At 41.4% G+C, this 22,179-nt stretch overlaps 1 protein-coding gene across 1 annotated transcript in view, besides 6 other annotated features; it reads right to left on the minus strand.

Moving 5' to 3' along the window:
• Positions 1-21,005, minus strand: part of UBE2N (ubiquitin conjugating enzyme E2 N) — a 36,264-nt gene extending 15,259 nt beyond the window's left edge. The window contains exon 1 of the mRNA NM_003348.4: positions 20,913-21,005. Within this exon, the coding sequence (NP_003339.1) occupies positions 20,913-20,942 (30 nt within the window). The 5' untranslated portion in view covers positions 20,943-21,005. The remainder of the gene's footprint in view (positions 1-20,912) is intronic.
• Positions 5,447-5,496: an enhancer, noted in NCBI's record as "active region_6768". NCBI's record gives its function as "activates an Ori minimal core promoter by ATAC-STARR-seq in GM12878 lymphoblastoid cells {active_cell/tissue: GM12878}" and the evidence as "EXISTENCE:reporter gene assay evidence [ECO:0000049][PMID:35858748]".
• Positions 20,221-20,340: a silencer, noted in NCBI's record as "silent region_4707". NCBI's record gives its function as "represses an Ori minimal core promoter by ATAC-STARR-seq in GM12878 lymphoblastoid cells {active_cell/tissue: GM12878}" and the evidence as "EXISTENCE:reporter gene assay evidence [ECO:0000049][PMID:35858748]".
• Positions 20,371-20,510: a silencer, noted in NCBI's record as "silent region_4708". NCBI's record gives its function as "represses an Ori minimal core promoter by ATAC-STARR-seq in GM12878 lymphoblastoid cells {active_cell/tissue: GM12878}" and the evidence as "EXISTENCE:reporter gene assay evidence [ECO:0000049][PMID:35858748]".
• Positions 20,661-20,870: a silencer, noted in NCBI's record as "silent region_4709". NCBI's record gives its function as "represses an Ori minimal core promoter by ATAC-STARR-seq in GM12878 lymphoblastoid cells {active_cell/tissue: GM12878}" and the evidence as "EXISTENCE:reporter gene assay evidence [ECO:0000049][PMID:35858748]".
• Positions 20,903-21,540: an enhancer, noted in NCBI's record as "NANOG-H3K27ac-H3K4me1 hESC enhancer chr12:93835621-93836258 (GRCh37/hg19 assembly coordinates)". NCBI's record gives its function as "activates a minimal SCP1, AML or CMV promoter by ChIP-STARR-seq in primed H9 embryonic stem cells {active_cell/tissue: H9 hESC(primed)}" and the evidence as "EXISTENCE:reporter gene assay evidence [ECO:0000049][PMID:30033119]".
• Positions 20,951-21,410: a silencer, noted in NCBI's record as "silent region_4710". NCBI's record gives its function as "represses an Ori minimal core promoter by ATAC-STARR-seq in GM12878 lymphoblastoid cells {active_cell/tissue: GM12878}" and the evidence as "EXISTENCE:reporter gene assay evidence [ECO:0000049][PMID:35858748]".

A 22,179-nucleotide genomic window follows, 5' to 3' on the forward strand; every position in this document is an offset into this window, starting at 1 on the left:
ATTATCAAGCACTGTCCCAGATATACAGAGAATCAATAAAAGAAAATCTCGGGTAACAGTTAAGAACAAACTATGCCAAATACTGACTTAAGTGCTACATATGTATTAGCTCATTTAATCCTCATACTCATTTTACAACTGAGAAACAAAGAGTAATCGACCAAAGCTAGTGAATGACAGAGTGAAGATTCAAATCCAAGCTGCTGGGCTCTATTCAGTCTGGTTTCAGGATGTGTTTCTTAATCTTTTTCTTTCTTTTTTTTTTGGGGGGGCTGGGGGGACAGATTCTCACTCTGTCACCCAGGCTGGAGTGCAGTGATACAATCTCAGCTCACTGCAAGCTCCACCTCCCGGGTTCACACCATTCTCCTGCCTCAGCCTCCAGAGTAGCTGGGACTACAGGCACCCACCACCTCGCCCAGCTAAATTTTTTGTATTTTTAGTAGAGACGGAGTTTCACCGTGTTAGCCAGGATGGTCTCGATCTCCTGACCTCGTGATCTGCCGGGCCCGGCCCATGTTTCCTAATCTTGATGGTATACAATAAAGACAATTAACTACATAAGCAGTAAATGTCTAATGTTTGGCAGGGACAGTAAACAGCACGGGAGTTAAAAGGGCTATTTTCAACCCTTCATAATCGTGAAGTGGTGCTTCATGAAAAAGGTAAATTTAAGCCATAATGTCATAAATTTTTTTTTCTTTTTGAACTGGTAACCAGAAAAGTATAGTCTTATTAAGATAAAAATAGGAAAAAAACTGATTTGATTGAAAAATTGGTATATACTATTTTGACTTGGAATTATCAGATGGTAAACCATTTTGCCTATCTTTGATAGTGCATGAGATCAACATGCTCTAAAATGTTTCGTGACTTTGAAATATAAATTTACTTACAAATGTTTACTCATTGCTATTTTGTTCATGGCATTGTGGTATTAAATAACTGGAAGGAAGAGTAAAACTTCTTGGCATCCAGCAGTTTATTTCATTGTGAGTAGTCAAGGTCTTAAGGTACAGGAGGTGTGAGTTAGGATACTATTAATATATGAAGAGCAGAACCAGATTACAGGGCTATTATGTTCTTGTTTATTTCTAAAGACATTTTTAAAGTTTTCTGGAAAGATTAAAAACCTCGTCTCCATCTTTTTTCCCTCTTTGTTTTTTCAAAGATTTCCAAATATTGGCATCACAGCTAAAGATGGTGTCAACTATTCCTTCATAAAACACTCATGAAGTTCTTGGTGGTAAAAATGTCCTTTGAATATTCAGCACTATAATTAGTAGACTCGTGGCAGTCAAGCATCTCCATTTTCTATGGTTCCTGATTTGATGAATGACATAACACTTCATTGCCTGAACTTTTCTTAGCACCAGCTCAAAAAATAAAAATAAGACTTTAGTGATTTAAATAATGTAGCTGTCTATCTTAATGAACTCTGTTATCTCAGGAATGATTTGACAGAGATGTCTCAGAATGCTGAATGAAAAGAAAGGACCTAGCTTAGTAACACAGTTCATTGGGACTGCTGTGTGCCATGGTCCTCGAGGCACTATTAACAAACCTATTGCATATTTTAGGTTCTGGGAGTGGGTATATAACTTAGTAGGTGAGGTAGGAAATGTTCTTCTGTATTCATCTTGAATTAAAATTAGGGAAATTTTTTAAAAGCCTGTTTTATGTGGTGAACACTAAAATAATAAGATTTATTAGCAAAAACCAGTGAACTTGGTTTTTTTCTTTGATCCAGCTTTTATGTAAAAAATGATGTAGATTGTGGGTTTTTTCTTTCATAAAATTTTACTTGTTTTTTTCAAGTTGGTAATTCATTTCAGGCCCTTATGTGTAATTTTAGTCATTTGTCTATGTTAACTATTAAACAATGTTAAAAATTCCCCCACTCATTCATATGTTCCTTTAGCTCCCACTCTTTAGTATAATGTTGGAGCTGGGAGATAAGAAAATTGTAAAAATTTTAAGTAACTTGTAGAAAAAGAAAAACTTACCCGTGGTCACACAAAAGGACTGCCTGGAAGCATTTAGGGCAAAATGAGGTTGGTAGTATGCATCCAGCACTTCTTGCGCATCACAAGCAAAGAAATAACCCATTCTGGAGAGAACTGCAGTAGTTACCACTAAGACAGCAGCAGAGTTCTAGTGGTAGCATTCTGCGCTTGACATCAATAATCACACCGCACACACTGTAGAATGTGTTGCACACAGTGTGAGCACTGAAATCATCGTGATGTGATTCTGAAGTTTGTTCCTGGCTCCCTCTTTTCTTTGGCCCTCCTGAAGAATGTGTGAGGTAACTAATAACTCTTAATATCATTTCTGCTTAAACTAGCCAAAGCTGGCTTCTGTTGGTTGCTAAAATGAAGTCTAAACTCAATAGGAAAGGAAGTGAAGAAAAGGTTAAGAGTTAGCAGACCAAGGCAGGAGGGGGTTGGGGGCTGGTAAATACGTTAAGAAGCTAAATAACTCTTTGGGATTAAATGAAGTCAAAAGAGGAGAGCATACAAGTCAACCAATCTCTTTATCAAAGAACTTCTACTTAAAACCTTTTAGAGGAGGAGCTAATTTCACATTAGACAGTTAAATTCAACTAAGCAGCCTGGTGTACCTAGCGTGGGGAGGGGGAAGAGGCTCAAGAGTTAGCACATCTGAATTTAATTCCAATTTTAATTGTACCAATGTGATATGTGACCACAGACAAATCATTTACCTCTCCAGCCTTCTAAAATGTCCCTTGAACATTTAAAAGGTTCTCTATAGCACCAAAATTGTCTGAATACTTTATTATTATTAGAATGAGTTGAATCTTATTGCTATATGCTTCTTTCTACTGGAAGGTCCCCTTTTGTAATAACATTCTTTAGGCCTATAATTACTGTTTTAGTCTTCCCTGCTGAAGGAGAAGGATATTATGAACTGTCATCCTGGTATTTATGCCAACGTTCAATATCTAAATAAAGAGAAAATTTGTTGCTAAGGGCACCTGCTTTTTTCCCAAGTTTTTTTCACTTGCTCATTAAAGAAATACATAAAATTAATCTAAATAAAATTAGCCATTCTCCTAATAACCAAAATCCAATTAACATTCTAGAATGTTTTTTGTTGTTGTTGTTCTGATAAAGACAAAAGCCCTTAAAAACAGTTTAATATGTTTACATTTTTTCACTCCTGTGTCACTGCAGCCACTTTCCTCAAGGCTAGTTGATTTACAGACAAATCAATATTCTTTAAAAACCATACGGCATAAACAGGTACTTTTCCTGGCCTACAAGCTAGTGACTATACTAGTATAGCTACCATGTATTTACTTACTCGACCCTTTTTCTTCAGGTTACTTCTGGTTTCAAATGCAGCAATCACAACAAAATTTAATGCCTGAGGACTCCATAATAGGTAAGGCAAGACAAGAACAGATGGAAGCAGAGCAGTTGAACTTTTCAGCGAAGCAAACAAAAAAACAAGTTACATTTCGCTCAGATTTGCATTCTCAATCCAATTGTACCAGTAACACAATTTTGTATAAAATCCAAACCATCAGGAAAGAAAAATTAAAACAGTCTTTCACACTCTGCATACTAACTCTGAGATAAATTAGGAAACATGAAAGCATGCAGATATTGGAGGGTTGTCTCCCACACAGTAAGCATCCTCTCTCAGGGCTAACCATACCGCACAGCTTCAGGAGAGGACCATTCGTATGACAGTCTGCATAAATGGCGCCTCTTGAAGTTATACAGTGAAATACTTTGGATTAAAAAATAAAACTTCAATTTAGCAGTTGCAAAGATCAACTTTATTATTACCTAACCCATGGAAAATGGATTACACATATGATAATTTTAATGAAATCAAAATGTTATTTACCCAAAACATCCCATTTTGCTATCCACTGTCGGTAAATGAGCATTCATTGTGCTTTCACAAAATCTATGCCTCACTTCAGAGAGTTATATTTAATGTTATCTATTTTGTGAAACAAATACATAAATGAACTTTGTTTCGTTTATGAAACGAACAAACCATTTTCCCACACACTAGGAAGACATTCAATCTTTTTATGTTTATGGTGAAGCAGCATCTTTGCAAAGTCAGAAAACAGTAATAACCAACACTACATAAGGCTCAGTATTACGTTAGGGTCTGTTCTTTACATTCTAATCCTTCCAATTACCATAGAGCTAGATTAGTATATTAAGCAGATAAAGAAGCAGAGAGGTCAAATGAGGTTGCCCAAGCTAATATTTGGCAGAGCTAGAAATCAAACTCAAGAGTCTGGCCTCAGATTCTTTGTTCCTGCCATACATAAACATACATTTCATATTCCCTAAATCAGTGTTTTGCTCTAGAGAATTAGGAAGTAAGGCTCTCTGAGCCATAAAACATTATTTTAGTCATGAAAAGCAGCATTTCTACCATCTTGAAAGTCAATTGTCAATTAAGAGGTCAGCAAAAGACTACAGTAGGAATGAACCTTCTGTAAGCCATCCCTTACACACTTTGCTACCTTACTGTCTCTCCAACTAAACTAGTTCCTAGAGATCAAGGCCTGTGTCTAACATTTGCAGACCCAATGTTGGACACCAGTGTGTCTTGCATTTCTTACTGGTTAATGAACAGATCAACTGCAGAACTACCTGAGACCAACCCCACAGAGTAAGGAAAACCACTGACTGGGTTAAAAGGAAATTCAAGAACTTCCAAAAATAGTAGGCCTAGCCAAGCAGTGACTGCAAAGAGCAGGAGTATGCAGAAAAAAAGACTTGCAAGACTCCAAACCGAATCTTTACAAACTATTTCACACGTCTGTCCAAAAGCCTTAGCTTTGACACTATTCCTACAGGTCATACACTTAAATGGACCAATTACGAAGCACCAGAGATACCAGCCTTATCACTTCTTTTGCCCCTCTAGGCAGCTTCAACAATCTAATAAGCATTTTCCTCAATTTAAAAAAGTGATCATTGCCTCAATAATCACGAGTTGACATATTAAAGATGATTCTTTCCCCTACCTCAAGGTTTTGGGAAGAATCTGAAATGAAACAGCTTGGTTAGGGACTTTAATATTTCACAGATTATCAATTAGGTCTGAAATTTGAACAGTCTTAAGAGATCCAGCTGGAGTAAATAACTCAGCAGATTTTTTACTCTTCTGTGATTTCAGATTATCTCGTCCTGCACTACTAAGCCAGAAGAGGAAATGATCCAGACAACTCAGATTTTAATGTAACTGAAATAAGCACAAACTTACACACTAGGGCTGATGTATTACAATAGAGTACGATGGACAATAATACTGGGTCAAATTCATCCACTTCATGTGGACAGCTTGAGTCTCCGAAAGAATGCGACAATACATTCAAAGAACATAAATGCTGGAATCAGTTCTTGCTAGCAACACGAGCCAGCAATGTTATTATGTGAAACTGCATCCAAAAAAAAAAAAAAAAAAGCTACAAAGTCATAAAAATAGCCCTGAGAATAACTAATTTGAATAGTGTAAGTAAACAGTTTTCTTGAGGAAGGAAATCGGGTGGCTGGAACACAGGTAGGAGACACCCTGCAAGTCAAACAAGCTTAATCAAAACAAGAGCTAAAAAAACCCTATAAAACCCCTAATCTGACAAGTCTGAAGTCAAGCCACATACTGCCACATCTCAAGGGCTTCTTACCCATCCCTATCTATCCTGGGCTGGGCCAGGCCAGGCAGTTTTCTAAAAAATCTCTGCCTTAGGAAACTAGTAAGTCAGATATAAAGTCAATCAATGTCTCTCACTTTCCTTCTACACTTTTGTGATTCTGGAGGTAGGACTCTGCCAGGGGCTCCTAGTTTAAGTCTGCAGATAAGGGAGTGTTAAGGGAAAACTGCGAGAGACGACAGTGCTGTCTCCCCTCTCATGGGTGCATCAGCAGATTTTTTTTTTTTTAAGCTCATCGGCTATCATTAGTGTTAGTGTATTTTATGTGTGGCCTAAGACAATTCTTTTTTTTTTTCTTTTGTCGCCCAGACTGGAGTGCAGTGGCACGATCTCGGCTCACTGCAGCCTCTGCTTCCCAGGTTGAAGCAATTCTCCCACCTCAGCCTCCCAAGTAGCTGGGATTACAGGCGTGTGCCACCACACCCAGCTAATTTTTGTATTTTTAGTAGAGACAGGGTTTCACCATGTTGGCCAGGCTGGTCTCGAGCTCCTGACCTCAAGGGATTGGCCCGCCTCAGCCTCCCAAAGGGCTGGGATTACAGGCGTGAGCCACCATGCCCAGCCATGAGACAATTCTTATTCCACTGTGGCCCAGGGAAGCCAAAAGGTTGGAAATCCCTGTTCTAAAGCAATGCAGGCTTCACATGTGACTAGTTTTATGAGAGCCAATACAGATTACCTATCTCCTAAAAATTCTACCTTGCTTCCCTTCAGCACTATCACTTTTTAAAAGGTTTTATTTAGAAAACACTTCAGGTAAAATATTTACAAAGGAATGAAGTACTAATACATGCTACAATATACATGAACCTTGAAAACATGCTAAATGAAAGAAGCCAGAAAGAAAAGGCCACATATTGTATAATTCCATTTATATGAAGTGTGTACAATAGGAAAATCCATAGAATTGGAAAGCAGATAAATGGTTGCCAGGGGTTGAAGGTAGAGTGACTGCTAATGAGCACAGGGTTTTTCTTTTTGGGGTGACAAAAATCTTCTGGAATTAGCAAGTGATGATGTTGTACTACTTTGTGAATACATGAAAAAACCACTAAACTGTACACTTTGAGTGGGTGAATTTTATGGTATGAGAATTATACCTCAAAAAAATAAATGAAGCATTTGAGTTTTCCTTCAATATTCAGTGAGATTTTGGAATCTTACCGATGAATTAGAGATTGGAATAGTAAAAGTAAGTGAAGGGAAAATAAATATCTATTACTTGACTATTTAGTATATAACATATTCACAGCATGTTAACAGAGTTTTCAGTTTTTTGAGATAGGATCTTGCTCTGTCGCCCAGGCTAGAGTATAGTGACACAATCTTGGCTCACTGCCGCCTCAACCTCCCAGGCTCAAGTGATCCTCCCATTTCACCCTCCCAACTAGTAGCTGGGACTACAGACATGTGCCACCACACCTGGCTAATTTTTGTATTTTTTTGTAGACATGGGGCTTCTTCATGTTGCCCAGGCTTTTCTCAAATTCTTGGGCTCAAGCAATCTACTTGCTTCAGCCTCCCAAAGTGCTGGGATCACAGACATGAGCCACCGCACCCAGCCAACAGAAATTTTAGTAATGAATATATATTCATGGACTACACTTCTGAAGAAAAGAAACTTCAAGTTAAAAGATTACTTTTGAAGCTAAGTATCTGTGATCCAAGCATAGACATGCTGACTCAAGTTACACAGTCTTAGTTCAAATATCTCCTGGGTCTGGTATGTCGACATTCTACTCCCCCTTTTCTACTTATGCTTCAAAATTCAGCTCAAATATCATCCTCTAAAAACCTTTCCCTAAACCAACCTTGAGGGTTTTCCAGGCCAGTCTGTCACTTCTTTGGTGTTCCCATTGATGCCTTTGTATTCAATATACAAAGCAGTGCTAGCTGTATGATTTTACTTTTGTCTCCCATTCTACCCATCTTTGCATTGAAGCCAAGCACACATATGACCAGTGTTTCTGCAAAGTGTACACTAAAATCATAAGCAGCTCTTAAAACAACAAAAATATGTTGGGCTGGCAATGTTAAATTTACAAACTTCCCCAGATAATTCCAATGTATAACCATGAACTAAGTACTCAGACTAGAAACAAGTGTTCAGAGAAAATAGCCCATAGATTCTTGTCTTGGCATCCTTGCCAATACATCAGCAGCCCTGCCAATTAAACTAGGAGAAGAAATAGGCAAGGTCTGGCCAAGTACTTCTCTAAGCACAGTCAGTGCTGGCCCCTGAACAGAACTTGCAGCACTTTTAGTTTAACCCTTACCTGAACCACAACAATAAAGACAGGGTCCTGGACAGTGCACTTTATTTGAAAAAGTGTAGGCCAGGCGCGGTGGCTCATGCCTGTAATCCCAGCACTTTTGGAGGCTGAGGCGGGCGGATCACGAGGTCAGGAGTTCAAGATCAGCCTGACCAACATGGTGAAACCCCGTCTCTACTAAAAATACCAAAATTAGCTGGGTGTGGTGGTGCACGCCTGTAGTCCCAGCTACTCAGGAGGCTGAGGAAGTAGAGCTGCTTGAACCCAGGAGGCGGAGGTTGCAGTGAGCCAAGATCACACCATTGCACTCCAGCCTGGGCGACAGAGGGAGACTCTGTCTCAAAAAAAAAAAAAGAAAGAAAGAAAACACAAAACTCAACTTGATATATAAATGAATGCAAGATAACTCTAACATATTTTTAGACTTACTGAGAAAAAAAATTCTCGTTTAAAATTAGTCTGATTCAGTGGTACTTTAAATACAGTCATGCGCTGTATGAGTTTCAGTCAATGATCAACTGCACAAAAGACAGTGGTCCCACAACATTATAATGGAACTGAAAAATTCCTATTGCCTAGTATTTACTATACTATACTTTTATTGATTATTTTAGAGTGTATTCCTTCTGCTTGTTAAAAAAAAAAAAAAAAGTTGACTGTAAAACAGGTTCAGGCAGGTCCTTCAGGAGGTATTCCAGAAGGCACTGTTGTCACAGGAGATGACAGCTCCATGTGTGTTACTGCCCCTGAAGACCTTCGAGTAGGACAAGAGGAGCTGGAAGACAGTGATACTGCTGATCCTGAATAGGCCTAATATGTGTGTGTATGTCTTAGTTTTTCACAAAAAAGTTTTTTTAAAAAAGATTGTAAGAGAAAAAAGCTTATAGGATATAAAGAAAATATATTTTTGCACAGCTGTATGATGTGTGTTTTAAGCTAAATGTTAATACAAAAAAATCAAAAGTTTAAAAATATAAGTTTATAAAATAAAAAAGTTACAGTAAGCCAAGGCTTATTATTGAAGAAACATTTTAAAAAATTTTTTGGTGTAGCCTAAGTGTACAATGCTTATAAAGTCTATCGTAGTGTACAGTAATGTCCTAGCCCTTCAAATCCACTCACCACTCACTCACCCAGGGCAACTTCCAGTCCTGCAAGCTTCCTTCATGGTTAAGTGCCCTATACAGGTATACCATTTTTTATCTTTTATACCAGATTTTTACTGTACCTTTCCTATTTTGATACACACATACTTACCACTGCATTACAACTGCCTACAGTATTAAGTACAGTAACATATTAAACAGGTTTGTAGCCTAGGATCAACAGACTATACAACATAGCCTAGGTGTGTAGCATGCTACACTATCTAGGTTTGTATAAATATACTCTATGATGTTCACACAATGATGAAATTGCCTATGGTGCATTTCTCAGAAAGTAACTCCATCGTTAAGTGATTCAAGACTGTATATTTTGCCGGTAAGAAAGAGCAGCAAAGAGTCCCTTCTCACCAGAACCACAAAATTCCTCAAATCCAGGACTGGCTGGGTGGGGAGGGGGAGGAAAAGAATATGCCATCCAGACCAGAGGCATTCCATCTTAAAGTGAACTATGTTACTAAACAGGGTCTCATGTTTGTAGGAAAGCCTCTAATTAAATTACAATAAAGAGACTTCTGATTAAAAAAAACCAAGAAAAGCGGCAGGCTCAGTGGCTCACGCCTGTAATCCCAACACTGTGGGAGGCTGAGACAGGAGGATCACTTGAGCCCAGGAGTTCAAAACCAGCCTGAGCAACATAGGGAGACCCTGTCTCTATGTAATATATATTATATATGTATATATATTTTATATTGTACATAATATATATTTTATATATATATAAAAAATTTTTTTAAATTAGTTGGGGATGGTAGTGCATGCCTGTGATCCCAGCTACTCGGGATGCTGAGGCTGCAGTGAGCCATGATCATGCCTGGGCAACACAGTGAGACCCTATCTTAAAAAAAAAAACACAGCCAAGCGCAGTGGCTCATGCCTGTAATCCCAGCACTTTGGGAGGCCAAGGCGGGCGAATCACAAGGTCAGGAGTTCGAGACCAGCCTGGCCAACATGGTGAAACCCCGTCTCTACTAAAAATACAAAAATTAGCCGGGTGTGGTGGCGGGCACCTGTAATCCCAGCTACTCGGAAGGCTGAGGCAGGAGAATCGCTTGAACCTGGGAGGCAGAGATTGCAGTGAGCCGAGATCGTGCCATTGCACTCCCAGCCTGGGCAACAAGAGCAAAACTCCGTCTCAAAAAAAGCCAACCAACCAACCAAACAAACAAAACACAACCCAAAACAAGTAAGCTAAGCACTTAGATCCTGTTCTTAAACATGTTTCCACTTCATGTGTCCAAATGATACAGTATAAAAATACATGCACTGCCAGTTATTATCTAGGAATAGACATGTTCTTCAGTATCCACAGTCTACAGAATCAGACCACCTGGGTTCAAATCATAGCTCTAGAAACTAATAAGTCCCTCTGTGCAGGTTCCCATAGCTATAAAATAGGAATGATACTAATATCCACACATCATAAAACTGCAATTAGAATTAAGTAAATTAATGCACGTAACATGCTTAGAACAGTGCCTGGTACACGATGCCAATGAAAGATGTCTATTTTTACATAATAAAAACTATATGACCAACCTCACTTCAGGAACAGCTGCCACACTGCATGCTAGTGAATAGTTCACAGACTAAATATGAATTTCATAATTAGAAACACTTTGTTTGCCTAACAATTCTTGATGCCAACTCTTTGAACACAGTCATTAAACAGTAATAATTATTTTTGATGAGACCCTGATTCTATTATCCATCACATACTATATTTCTAGATGATGCCATGCTTTCTGTCTCTCCTTCCAGCTTTCATATCTGCTGCCCCATGTGCCAAAAACTCACTCACACTCCCTCCTTCTCTTGGCCCAGCAAACTCTTACTCTTCAAGTTTAAAAACACTTCCTCGGCTGGGCGCGGTGGCTCCTGCCTGTAATCCCAGCACTCTGGGAGGCTGAGGCGGGCGGATCACGAGGTCAGGAGTTTGAGACCAGCCTGACCAACATGGTGAAACCCTGTCTCTACTAAAAATACCAAAATTAGCCGGGTGTGGTGGCGTGCACCTGTAATCCCAGCTACTCAGGAGGCTGAGGCAGGAGAATTGCTTGAACCCGGGAGGCAGAGGTTGCAGTGAGCCAAGTCACGTCACTGCATTCCAGCCTGGGCCACAGAAATTTGTTTCATGACTGTGTTTTCCATTACACAGGGATGCCTTTCTTGTTCACCTGGCTTACTGGTAAATGCATATTATGCATTCAATGAATGTCCAATTAATTGAACTGAAAAAAAATCTCATGAATGGATAATAAAGAGACACGCAAATCACAAGGTTACAGAAAACTGAAATTTGGCCTTGGGATCGGCCTATGTTACTAAAACCACTTTGTCCCTGCCTCATAGTAAGATGGTAATCTAGTTGTCTTTAAGAGTCACAAAAAAAAAAAAACAAAACAAAACAGCTACTTACTAACATTTTCCCGAGTATAAGCTATAATCTTAAGAAAGTTACAGAGCAATAAAAAAATCACCAATGGTTTCATGATATAAATTTGTTAGTTCTTTCTAGTGTTTCCTTAACTACAATGCCTTCAATCCCTAGAACTGTAAAGACTTTCAAAATATAAATTCATTTGCCCAAAATTAACCAAACTGACAGAGACATAATGTGAAGGTATTGAAAACTAAAAAAAAAATTGAAAATCTAAAGACAACATAGCCAGTTGTTTTAATGCAAAATATGTCAACCTTAGATTCTGAAACCAGTATCTAAAATTACTTTAAATTACAGTAGAATCCTAATTATTCAGAAGCATCTCAGTTACTGGCCAATTCAAAACCAAAAATGTCTGTGCCTAAGTACTCAAGAAATTTTAGAATAGCTTCATTCAGGTTTTTTTTTTTTTTTGAGACGGAGTCTTGCTCTGTTGCCCAGGCTGGAGTGCAGTGGGGTGATCTCCGCTCACTGCAAGCTCTGCTGCTCCCGGGTTCACACCATTCTCCTGCCTCAGCCTCCCGACTAGCTGGGACTACAGGCACCCACCACCACGCCCAGCTAATTTTTTTGTATTTTTAGTAGAGACGGGGTTTCACCATGTTAGCCAGGATGGTCTCGATCTCCTGACCTTGTGATCCTCCTGCCTCGGCCTCCCAAAGTGCTGGGATTACAGGCGTGAGCCACCGCGCCTGGCCAGGATTTTTAAAAAATATAAAATGCCCCCAATGGTGTCATGTAGCCCTTGAAAGAATGAATAATAATGAAGTATTTCTGTTGATTCTGAGGGCTCTTAACCAATTATCCAGTTCTTCCAACCACACAGTCATGTTTCTGCCACAAAAGACCCTAGGGCCATCAATCACTTCACTTGGGAAGAAATTTTAAAAGCTGCTAAGATTTTAGCTGAAGTTAAAAGATTCCCTATTATTTAATTGCCTAATTGGTATATCCACATTCATTCCTTCATATATTACATTTGCAAAGAAAATTTCAACTCTAATGAAACAACAGTCCAACTCGTTTTTCGCATACACACATAAGAATTCTTTTCCTTGATATAATATTATTACATAAACTATGCCTCTCATATTTATTTTGTTTTTAGAAAGCAGCACTGTATAAGATACGAATTTGGCACCTAAATCAGAACTCTGATTACTATAATTGTAATGTCAAAAGCCCCTGCTGGATGCTGCTGTCCTCATTTCCTTGTTTCTAGTATTTATTTCTATAGCACATATGCATCCATAGTTCATTATAACAGAAAACATAATGTGTGTTCAGAATCCATACAACTTGAATCTGTAGCATATTTTCTTCTTAAATCCATTTACACAGGTAAACTATCCTATAAGGTATAGGGAAAAAAGAAGAAGAACCGAATTGTACATCAGGAATCTGGTCATCCAACTTCTTTGGCCTACAAATTCCTCACCAGAGAAAGAAAAGGATAGAACAGATGTTCTCTAATGTGTAAAACTCTGGTGGCTCACTCCCGTAGTCCCAGCACTTTAGGAGGCCGAGGTGGGTGGATCACGAGGTCAGGAGATTGAAACCATCCTGGCCAACATGGTGAAACCCGTCTCTACTAAAAATAAAAAAAAATTAGCTGGGTGTGGTGGCGCGTGCCTGTAATTCCAGCTACTCGGGAGGCTGAGGCAGGAGAATCGCTTGAACCTGGGAGGTGGAGATTGCAGTTAGCCGAGTTCGTGCCACTGCACTCCAGCCTGGCGACAGAGCGAGACTCCGTCTCAACAAAAAAAAACTCTGGTTTTAAGAGTGGTCATTAACACGTGTGGAAAAAATTCCAAACTTGAGCAAAGCAAATGCATAACATTTCCAGTCACAGTCATTTAGCACAGTGAATACTAAAGTACTTGATAATTTGACAAAACTTAATTTCACTTGTGCAGGAGTTGATCAATCTGGACTAAAGGAACTGCTTGACACAGAGGAGCTTAAAAAAGAATACTGAACTGACTGCTATTTTTAACTTACTTTCAGTTATGCTCACATTTCATAATCAAAACATTAGATAGTATATTAAAACAGTATCTTTAGAGCCTGAAAGTTTAATCACTATCAAAAGCAGTTCAAGGATTCTTAACATGGAGCACATGGAGACCTAGGGAATCCACAAATAAACTTGGCAAGAATCTGAATCCCCAGAAGTCATACGTTAAAAAAAATAGCTTTTTTTCCTAGGAAGAGGTCAGAAAATTCTTAAGTGAGACAACTGAAAGAACTAAAGAACCACTGTTCCTAGTCAAATTTTTTACAAGTTTTTTCTTAAATTCCAAAGGTGATTTTAATTACAACTTATAACAAATCTGTCTTCATCATAATGAGTTTGTATTTATTTATTTATTTATTTATTTATTTAAGAGACAGGGTCTTGCCTCTATTACCCAGGCTGGGGTGCAGTGGTGCCACTAATAGCTCACTGCAGCCCCGGCCTCCTGGATTCAAGGGATCTTCCTGCCTCAGTCTTCTGTTAGGATTACTGCATGAACCACCATACCTGGCTAAGTTTCCCTGCCCCCACCTGGAGGTACATATATTTCTGAAACATCATGGTAACTTTTCCATGCCTTTTTTTAATTGGAAGAAAACATTATCAGACAAGTATTTTCAGAGCTTAAAACAACAGATAGGACAGGCGCGGTGACTCACACCTGTAGTTCCAGCACTTTGGGAGGCCGAGGTGGGCAGATCACCAAAGGTCAGGAGTTCGAGACCAGCCTGACCAACATGGTGAAACCCTGCCTCTACTAAAAATACAAAAATCAGCTGGGCGTGGTGGCATACACCTGTAATCCCAGCTACTAGGGAGGCTGAGGCAGGAGAATTGCTTGAACCCAGGGGGCAGAGGTTGCAGTTAGCCGAGATCACGCCATTGCACTCCAGCCTGGGCAACAAAAGCAAAACTTCATCTCAAAATAAGAAAAAAAAAATGTTCAAGGCAGAGAGTAAAGCTACTCCAGTGGCTGAGGCAGGAGAACTGCTTGAACCTGGGAGGCAGAGGTTGTAGTAAGCCGAGATTGTGCCATTGCACTCCAGGCTGGGCAACAAAGCAAGACTCCCGTCTCAAATAAATAAAAGGTGAGTTTTCTAAATCACTTTTCTTACAAAAAAAAATACCTTATGCACTAGAATACCTATCAAATGAGTGGCTTTTAAACAGTAACAGGAAAAAATGTGTGTACTTCAAAAAATCCTATTAAAAAAGTAAACTCAAGTCTCAATGTAAAATCAGACTGTATCTGATTTTTAAGAATTTGAGGCTAAATCACACCAAATAGAAGAGTAAATTTTTCCACTGCACTTCAGCCTGGGTGACAGAGACCCTGTTTCAAAAAATTAATTAAATGTATTTTCTTAAGTAAATTTTTAAGCACCATAGACAAGGGACCAGTGGGGAAGGGAGACATAAAGTAAATTCTGCGAAAGACTGGTAAAATTCTAATTCCAGCAGGTTGACTCACTAGGTTTTAATCAAATAAGTCAACCCCTAGGGTAAGTTAACTACTTTTTCCCAAGACTGTATTTTATCATTTTCATTATTATCATTATTACTATTTTGAGACAGGGTTTCACTCTGTCGCCCAGGCTGGAGTGCAGTGGCGCGATCTAGGCTCACTGCAGCCTCAACTTCCTGGGCCAAACCAATCCTCCCACCTGTCTCCTGAGTAGCTGGGACTACAGATGTGTGCCACAACACCTGGCTAATTTTCATTTTATCTTTTTGTAGAGACAAGGTCTCATTATGTTGTACAGCCCAGTCTTGAAACCTTGGGCTCAGGGGATCCTCCCGCCTCAGCCTCCCAAAGTACTGAGATTATAGGCATGAGCCACAGTGCTCAGCCCTCATGATTAATTCTGAAAAGACCATTAAAGGAATGTCAGTCACTGTATCAACGTAACATGTAAAGCTGAAACAGATTTGGTTTTGACCAAGGCCATAACTATAGATCTCACTTATCGGTTCCCGAAAGTGATTCTCCTTTATGACAGGATTATGCAGAACCTCTCATTTGAGGGACATTTTAGGTACCTCCTAACCTTTATGACTTTAAGCTTTAACTGCTCACTTTTTTTTTTTTGGTGGAGATGGAGATCTCACTATGTTCCTCAGGCTGGTCTCAACTCCTGGCTTCAAGCAATCCTTGGGCCTCAGTCTCCCAAAGAGCTGTTATTACAGGTGTGAACCACCATGCCCAGCTTCAGTCACTTTTATTGGCTAAAAGAGCTTTGGTCCAGAAGATAAGGCAGAAAAACGAAACTAAAGATTCTAGCTTAAAACAGAACTACTAAGACTCAATATCACTCACACTTGTGCAAAATGCCATACATACAAAACTTCGTTACAGCATTTTTTATATAGCACAATTTAGGAAACATTCTGAAAGTTATGAATAAGCAATTAGTTACAATAAAGTCTAGGCCAGGCACGGTGGTTCATGCCTGTTAACCCTAGCACTTTGGGAGGCCGAGGTGGAAGAATCACTTGAGCCTAGGAGCTCGAGAACAGCCTAGGCAACATGGCAAGACCCCATCTCTACTGAAAAAGTATTAAATTTCCAATATTTGAAAAAATAAAATAAAGTCTAACCATAAGGTTCCATTAAACAGCCCTTTGAGAAAAAAAAAAGAGCCAAAGCAGAACACTATGATGCATGTCTGTAATCCCAGATACTGGAGGCTGAAGGTAGAGATCACCTGATATTAGGAATTCGAGGCTGTATGTATATAGTGTACTATGATCACGCCTGTGAAAAGCCACTGCACTCCAGCCTGGGCAACAAAGCAGCAGTCTGTCTCTTAAAAAAAAAAAAAAGTCAACTTGAAGATACATAGGTGGTTAGAGGGGAAGAGAAGGGAATCAAGGTATTTGCATGAGAAGGAGAAGACGCCTAACTTATAGCAGAAAGTTGCTCTGGTCTTCTTGTAAGGATACACAATAAAAATAGTGGTTGAAGTCGGGTGCAGTGGCTCACACCTGTAATCCTAGCACTTTGGGAGGCTGAGGCAGGTGGATCACTTGAGAAGAGGAGTTTGAGACCAGCATGGCCAACATGGTGAAACCCCATCTCTACTAAAAATTAGCCAGGTGTGGTGGCACATGCCTGCAGTCTCAGCTACTTAAGAGACTGAGGCAGGAGAATCACTTGAACCTGGGAGGTGGAGTTTGCAGTGAGCCAAAATTGCACCACTGCACTCCAGCCTGGGCAACAGGGGGAGACTCCGTCTCAACAAACAAACAAACAAACAAAAACAGTGGTTTTCTAAGCAGGGGAACTGGAATGCTGAAGGACAGATGAGGGATTCTCTACGTATCCTTCAGAGCCTTTCAAATGTGCTCTATGTGTGCATTTCCTAGTTAATAAAAAAAGATACATAAGCAGAGTAGGCACACAAAAAAGAAATAATGTAAAAGATTGATGTCCTTTTTAAGTGAGCTTATGGGTGGAAAACGAGACTAGCTTTAACTTTTAGCTCAGACATTGGTTCAGACAGAATATACCAAGGAGTAACAATGTCAAATTATTGCTCATTGAGATTAAGGCTCATCTATTCAGTTAGTCTATTAATATTTCAGTATCTACTATGTGCCAAGGATTGGTCTAGGCACGAATGAGCAATGCCCGGGATATCCAAGAGTCCCTAACTTCATGAAGGTTTAATGGGGAATAGAGAGAAATAAACAGTAAATAACATAACTTCGAACAGTAATAAGCACTTATACAGAAGAAAGGGAGATAGGAGGATAAAATTGTGGGGGAGGAAAAAGGGAAACTGGTTTATACGGGACAGGTTAGGTAGAGGGTATGACATATGAGCTAAGAACGGAACAACTGGACAAAGCAAGCAATGCAACAAACTGGAGGAAAGTCCTGTGACTGGAATAAGCTCAACCACTTATTGTTCAGGGTACAGCAAAGCAACAGTGTGGCTACAGTGGAGTGACCCAGAGAGAGAAGTGCAGATGCGCTCAGAAGTAGGCATCCCAAATGAATGCAGGGCCTTATAGCTAAGGGGTGGGGGGGAAGGCAAGATTCTAATGTAAGTGTGATGGAGAACCTCTACAGTTTTTAGCAGGGGAGTAACATGGTCTATATTTTAAGAAGATAACACTAGCTGCTGCTCCAAAGTAGGCTAATACAGGAGGCCAGGCAGTAAATGATGGAAGTGAACAGAGGTTTGAAAGACAGGGGGGAAAGTGTCTGATTTAGTACATATATTGAAAGCAGAACCTACAGAATTTGCTACTGGATTAGATACAGGAATCTAAATGAGATAGCAACTGGGTGAATAGTAGTCCAGAAAATCATCTTGTATTTGTAGTTAGTCATTTTACAGTAACAAGAGACAGGGGAATGTTACACTAATCAAGATCCAAATTCTGCCTCTTACCAGCTTTACCTTAGGAAAGTCATTTAAGTCAGTTTCTAGACTGCAAAATATATTGTCTAGTTCACAAAAATGTCTGTAAGAATCAAATGGTTAAGAAATCTACAAATGTAAATAGTGATCATTATAAGTTAGAAAGCATCATATTAACAGTCATGCAAATCAAGCCACCTTATTTTAACATTTTCATTAGATGAGAATGCTAACACTGATGTTATATCAACACTAAATTTCATCCTTTGAAAGTCAAAGGTCAGGCGGGGCACAGTGGCTCACGCCTGTGATCCCAGCACTGTGGGAGGCTGAAATGGGTGGATTGTGTGAGGTCAAGAGTTTGAGACCAGCCTGGGCAACATGGCGAAACCCCGTCCCTACAAAAATTAGCTGGGTGTGGTGGCATGCACCTTGCAGTCCCAGCTATTGAAGAGGCTTAAGTGGGAGGATCATCTAAGACCAGGAGATCAAGGCTGTGGTAAGCCATGATCCTGCCACTGCACTGCAGCCTGGGAGCGGAGTGAGACGAGTCTCAAGAAAAGAAAACAGAAAGAAAAGAAGAAAGTCAAAGATCACCCAGAAATAAAACAAATTAACAGTCCAATCAACAAAGTCATGTCCCTATTGCCTCAGGACAATACCGTTACCCCCATCCACCACACAGAAGTTTGTATAGTGATTGACAGAAAAGAGGCAACTTTTAAAAATAAATTCTGATTTTTTTTAAAGCATTGTCACTGATTATGGAACAACCTACATAACACAAGCATGGACACTTTTAAAAATCTAGTCTTTTAGTCTTCTGTTTAAGGATTAGAGAAAACCATCCTTTTAAGCTATAAATGACACTAAACTAGTAAGATAAAACCCAAATCAAGGTGTCATTCATTAGATAGATGTTGTCAACAAGATACCGTAAAATTAAGATTATATATCACAGTATGAGTTACTGTCTTAGTTTCAACAGCAAAATGTAAATGCCCAGTGTAAATTACTGTGTGCCAAATGGATTGAATCATGAGGACTTCAACTTATTGCCTTAAACCATTTCTGTAAATTTATAAACAAGGTTCCACAGAATTTATTTTTTCATCCAAGGCTTTCATATTACTGGGCATATCTTCATAATCAAAAATAGAAAAATGCGTGTTAAATGTTTAGTTCACTATGTATTTCAGAGAATTATCATGAATGTCAACTTGCATTATGTACTTAGTCAATAACCTAAGTAACAACGAAAACAAGGATATTTGATGTATGGCTCTATCACTCCCTATTCATTTTTCAACTGGGGCCTCAATAAACATGACCTTTGGGGACCATGTGACTGCATTATAACTAAAACCACGTTGTACGGACCTGCCAATACATATGACAATTAAAACTCCTTGGACAGAATCCTAGATAAATCCACACACAACAAATTTCGGACTATGAAGATTCACATTATTAGACTCCAGTGCTCCCTGACAATCTGTTCTACTTCTCTCATTTCTAAGAATTTCTACCATACAAAAACGTCTTATTTCTCTACATCAGCACCCTTAGGTCAGTGACATCTCCCTCATCTCAGATATATTTAAATGCAATTGGATGAAGCAGTATACAGTACATCATCCTCGAAGCCTAACAGGTCTTCCACTTAGTATGCATCTCCCCACAGATTTCACAAGAATGAGCAAGATTAACATACACGTTCACCAGGTTATATCAAGCAAAATGATGCTGCAATTGAGTCACTTTAACTGGCGCATTTAGTCACATAAATGTGCAACTAATTTCCTTCATAAAAACCGACACAAAAATTTAAGGTTTAGTTGTTGTGATGACAAGGAATATCTCACGTCTGAAGACTTGTCGATATTTCCTTAAGACTTTACAAAATCAAAGAATCGAAAATGTCATGGTTCCATACATACTTGTCAAAACACAGTATTCATAAACAGCCAATTAATAATTAAAACGCACAAAATTGAGGGGCAAAAGATTTCACGAGATCCCCCACAGAGGCCAAGGTAGGAAGATCTCTGAAGCCAGGAGTTTTGGAAGCCGCCTGGGCACTATAGCGAGGCCTCATATCTACGAAAAAGAGAGGAGAGGAGAGAAGAGGAGAGAGAAAGAGAATCCCCCATAACTGCGGCCCTCCCCCAGCCTTGTGTTAAAACTATTTCCTCGGAACAGCTCTGAAAGAGTTTGCCAACCAGAGTAAAATCACTTCGCAGAGATAAACGAGCGGAAACGTATTCAGAAGAGAGAGATCGCGGAAGCAAGGGCAGCGGGGCGCGGGGCCCCCACGTCCCGGGACCCAGGCAGCCGCGGCAACCAGGGGCGAGCATGTGCTGACCGCGGCAGGACGCGCGGGCCTCCCAGAGCCACTTCCCGGGGCGCAGGGCCCCGCCCGGCCTGACCCTCCCGGTTCATTCATTCTGCACCCGCGGTTGCCGCACCTCCGCGGCCCCGTCGGGGCGGAGAAGAGGGGCTTGGCTGCCGAGGGACCTTGTCGGGCCACAATCCCCACCAGGCGCCCGAGCCCCGCCGCGATTCCCGCGCGCCCGCGGCCTCCGGCGGGGGGGTGGTCTCAGAAGCTATGGAGGCCCGCGCCCAAGCCCAGAGACCCCCAGCCTTGCCGCCCCACCCTCCGCCGGGGCGTGGGACAGCACTCCCTGGCCCGCCGGGCAGCCGCCTGGAAGCCCCGGGTCCCCGCTGTCCGGCTGCCCCGCCGCGGCCGGAAGTCTCCCCGGCGCCCCCTCCTCAGCACCCGACTTCCCTCGCCGCCGCGGCCAACCCCTCTCCGCGCCGCCTCGGGCCTCCCAGAGCGGGCCGCGGGCCGAAGGAGGCGAGAGGCCGCGCTGCCTGCCCAGCTGAGCCGACGAGAGCAGAGCGAAGAGCTGGAGGCCGGCCTGGGCGGTTACCTTGATGATCCTGCGGGGCAGCCCGGCCATCTTGTCAGAACCCGAGTTCGGCCTCTGGTCTCGTCTCCGGCTCCTCTCGCCTCACGCACGAGTGGAAGTCCCGGGCTCCACTTCCGGGGGACGTTGCCGCGCCCGTCGCCGCAGCCGCCGCCGAGGCCCCTCGGGAAATGTAGTCCCTGCTCGGGCGCGGGCTCGGGCACGGGCGGGCTTCCCTCCGACCTGGCCCCCTCCCCCGTGCGCCCCGCCCCAACCGCTGCCGGGGATGGCGGAAGTGACGCTCTGTTGCGGGGCAGGGACTTGGGACAGGCCGCGAGGGGAGGCGCGGGGCTCTGGCGCTCGTGGCCGAGCCTGCCCGCGACGGTGGTACGGCACGACCCGCGCGCGACTGCGCGCGCGTCTCTCTTAACCGTGGCCACGCCCGCGCCGGTGGACGACGTAACAGAGGCCTGGCCTACGACGTATCCCATTCATTCATTCACGCGTTCGTTCTTTCAGCTCACGCGTTCGTTCTTTCAGCTCAGCCTGCATTGCGCGCGTTCCCTGCTGGCTCTGCAGTGAACGACTGAGGTGGGGCTCATCGTCTTGCTCCTTCCTCAAAGGGAGGGCAAGACCGAAACTCGGTGGCAAAGCTCTGACTGGGGGTCTCTCCAGTTACTCACACGCTGTTGGGGGAGTTTTGATGTTTAAATTGTATAAATCGGACCTCTGACACGCCCCTAGGCCCAGGGTAGGCTGAAGGAAAAGGGTTTGGAGCGAGTTGGAGGCGGGAAGAATGGTTCTGAACGCCTAGACCTAAAGGTTGAGACTCAGAATTGTTAACAGGACGAATGACCAAGGAGAGGTTTAAAGAACCCAGAGTAATCCGTAAAGCAGAGATTACCTATAGAGTGCGAGGTCCTATGAGAGAATTAGAGTGGGGGTGCCCGAAAATTGAATTGTTGGGGAAGCGTTTTATCCTGATGACGGATGGTTTGCTGTGTGATGGACTGTTTGCAAGCACTTTACTTCATCTTCACAGCAATCGTGAGGAGGTGTTGTTTCCATTTTACAAATGAGGCTTAGATAGTTAACCTTTTCCAAGGAGCTGTTTTGTCCCCAGGCAGATCCGCCAAGACCTGGCCCTTAACTACTTAACCACAGTGTTTCCTAGCACACTAACAGACAGTAGATGGTGAATAAATGAAGACAAGACTGACCGTGCCTTCCAGGAACTTAGATTCCAATGGAGAAGAGAGACCAGTAAACAATTAGTTACAATCCAATGTGT

Source organism: Homo sapiens, chromosome 12 (genome assembly GCF_000001405.40).
Source record: "Homo sapiens chromosome 12, GRCh38.p14 Primary Assembly".
Taxonomy (NCBI): domain Eukaryota; kingdom Metazoa; phylum Chordata; class Mammalia; order Primates; family Hominidae; genus Homo; species Homo sapiens.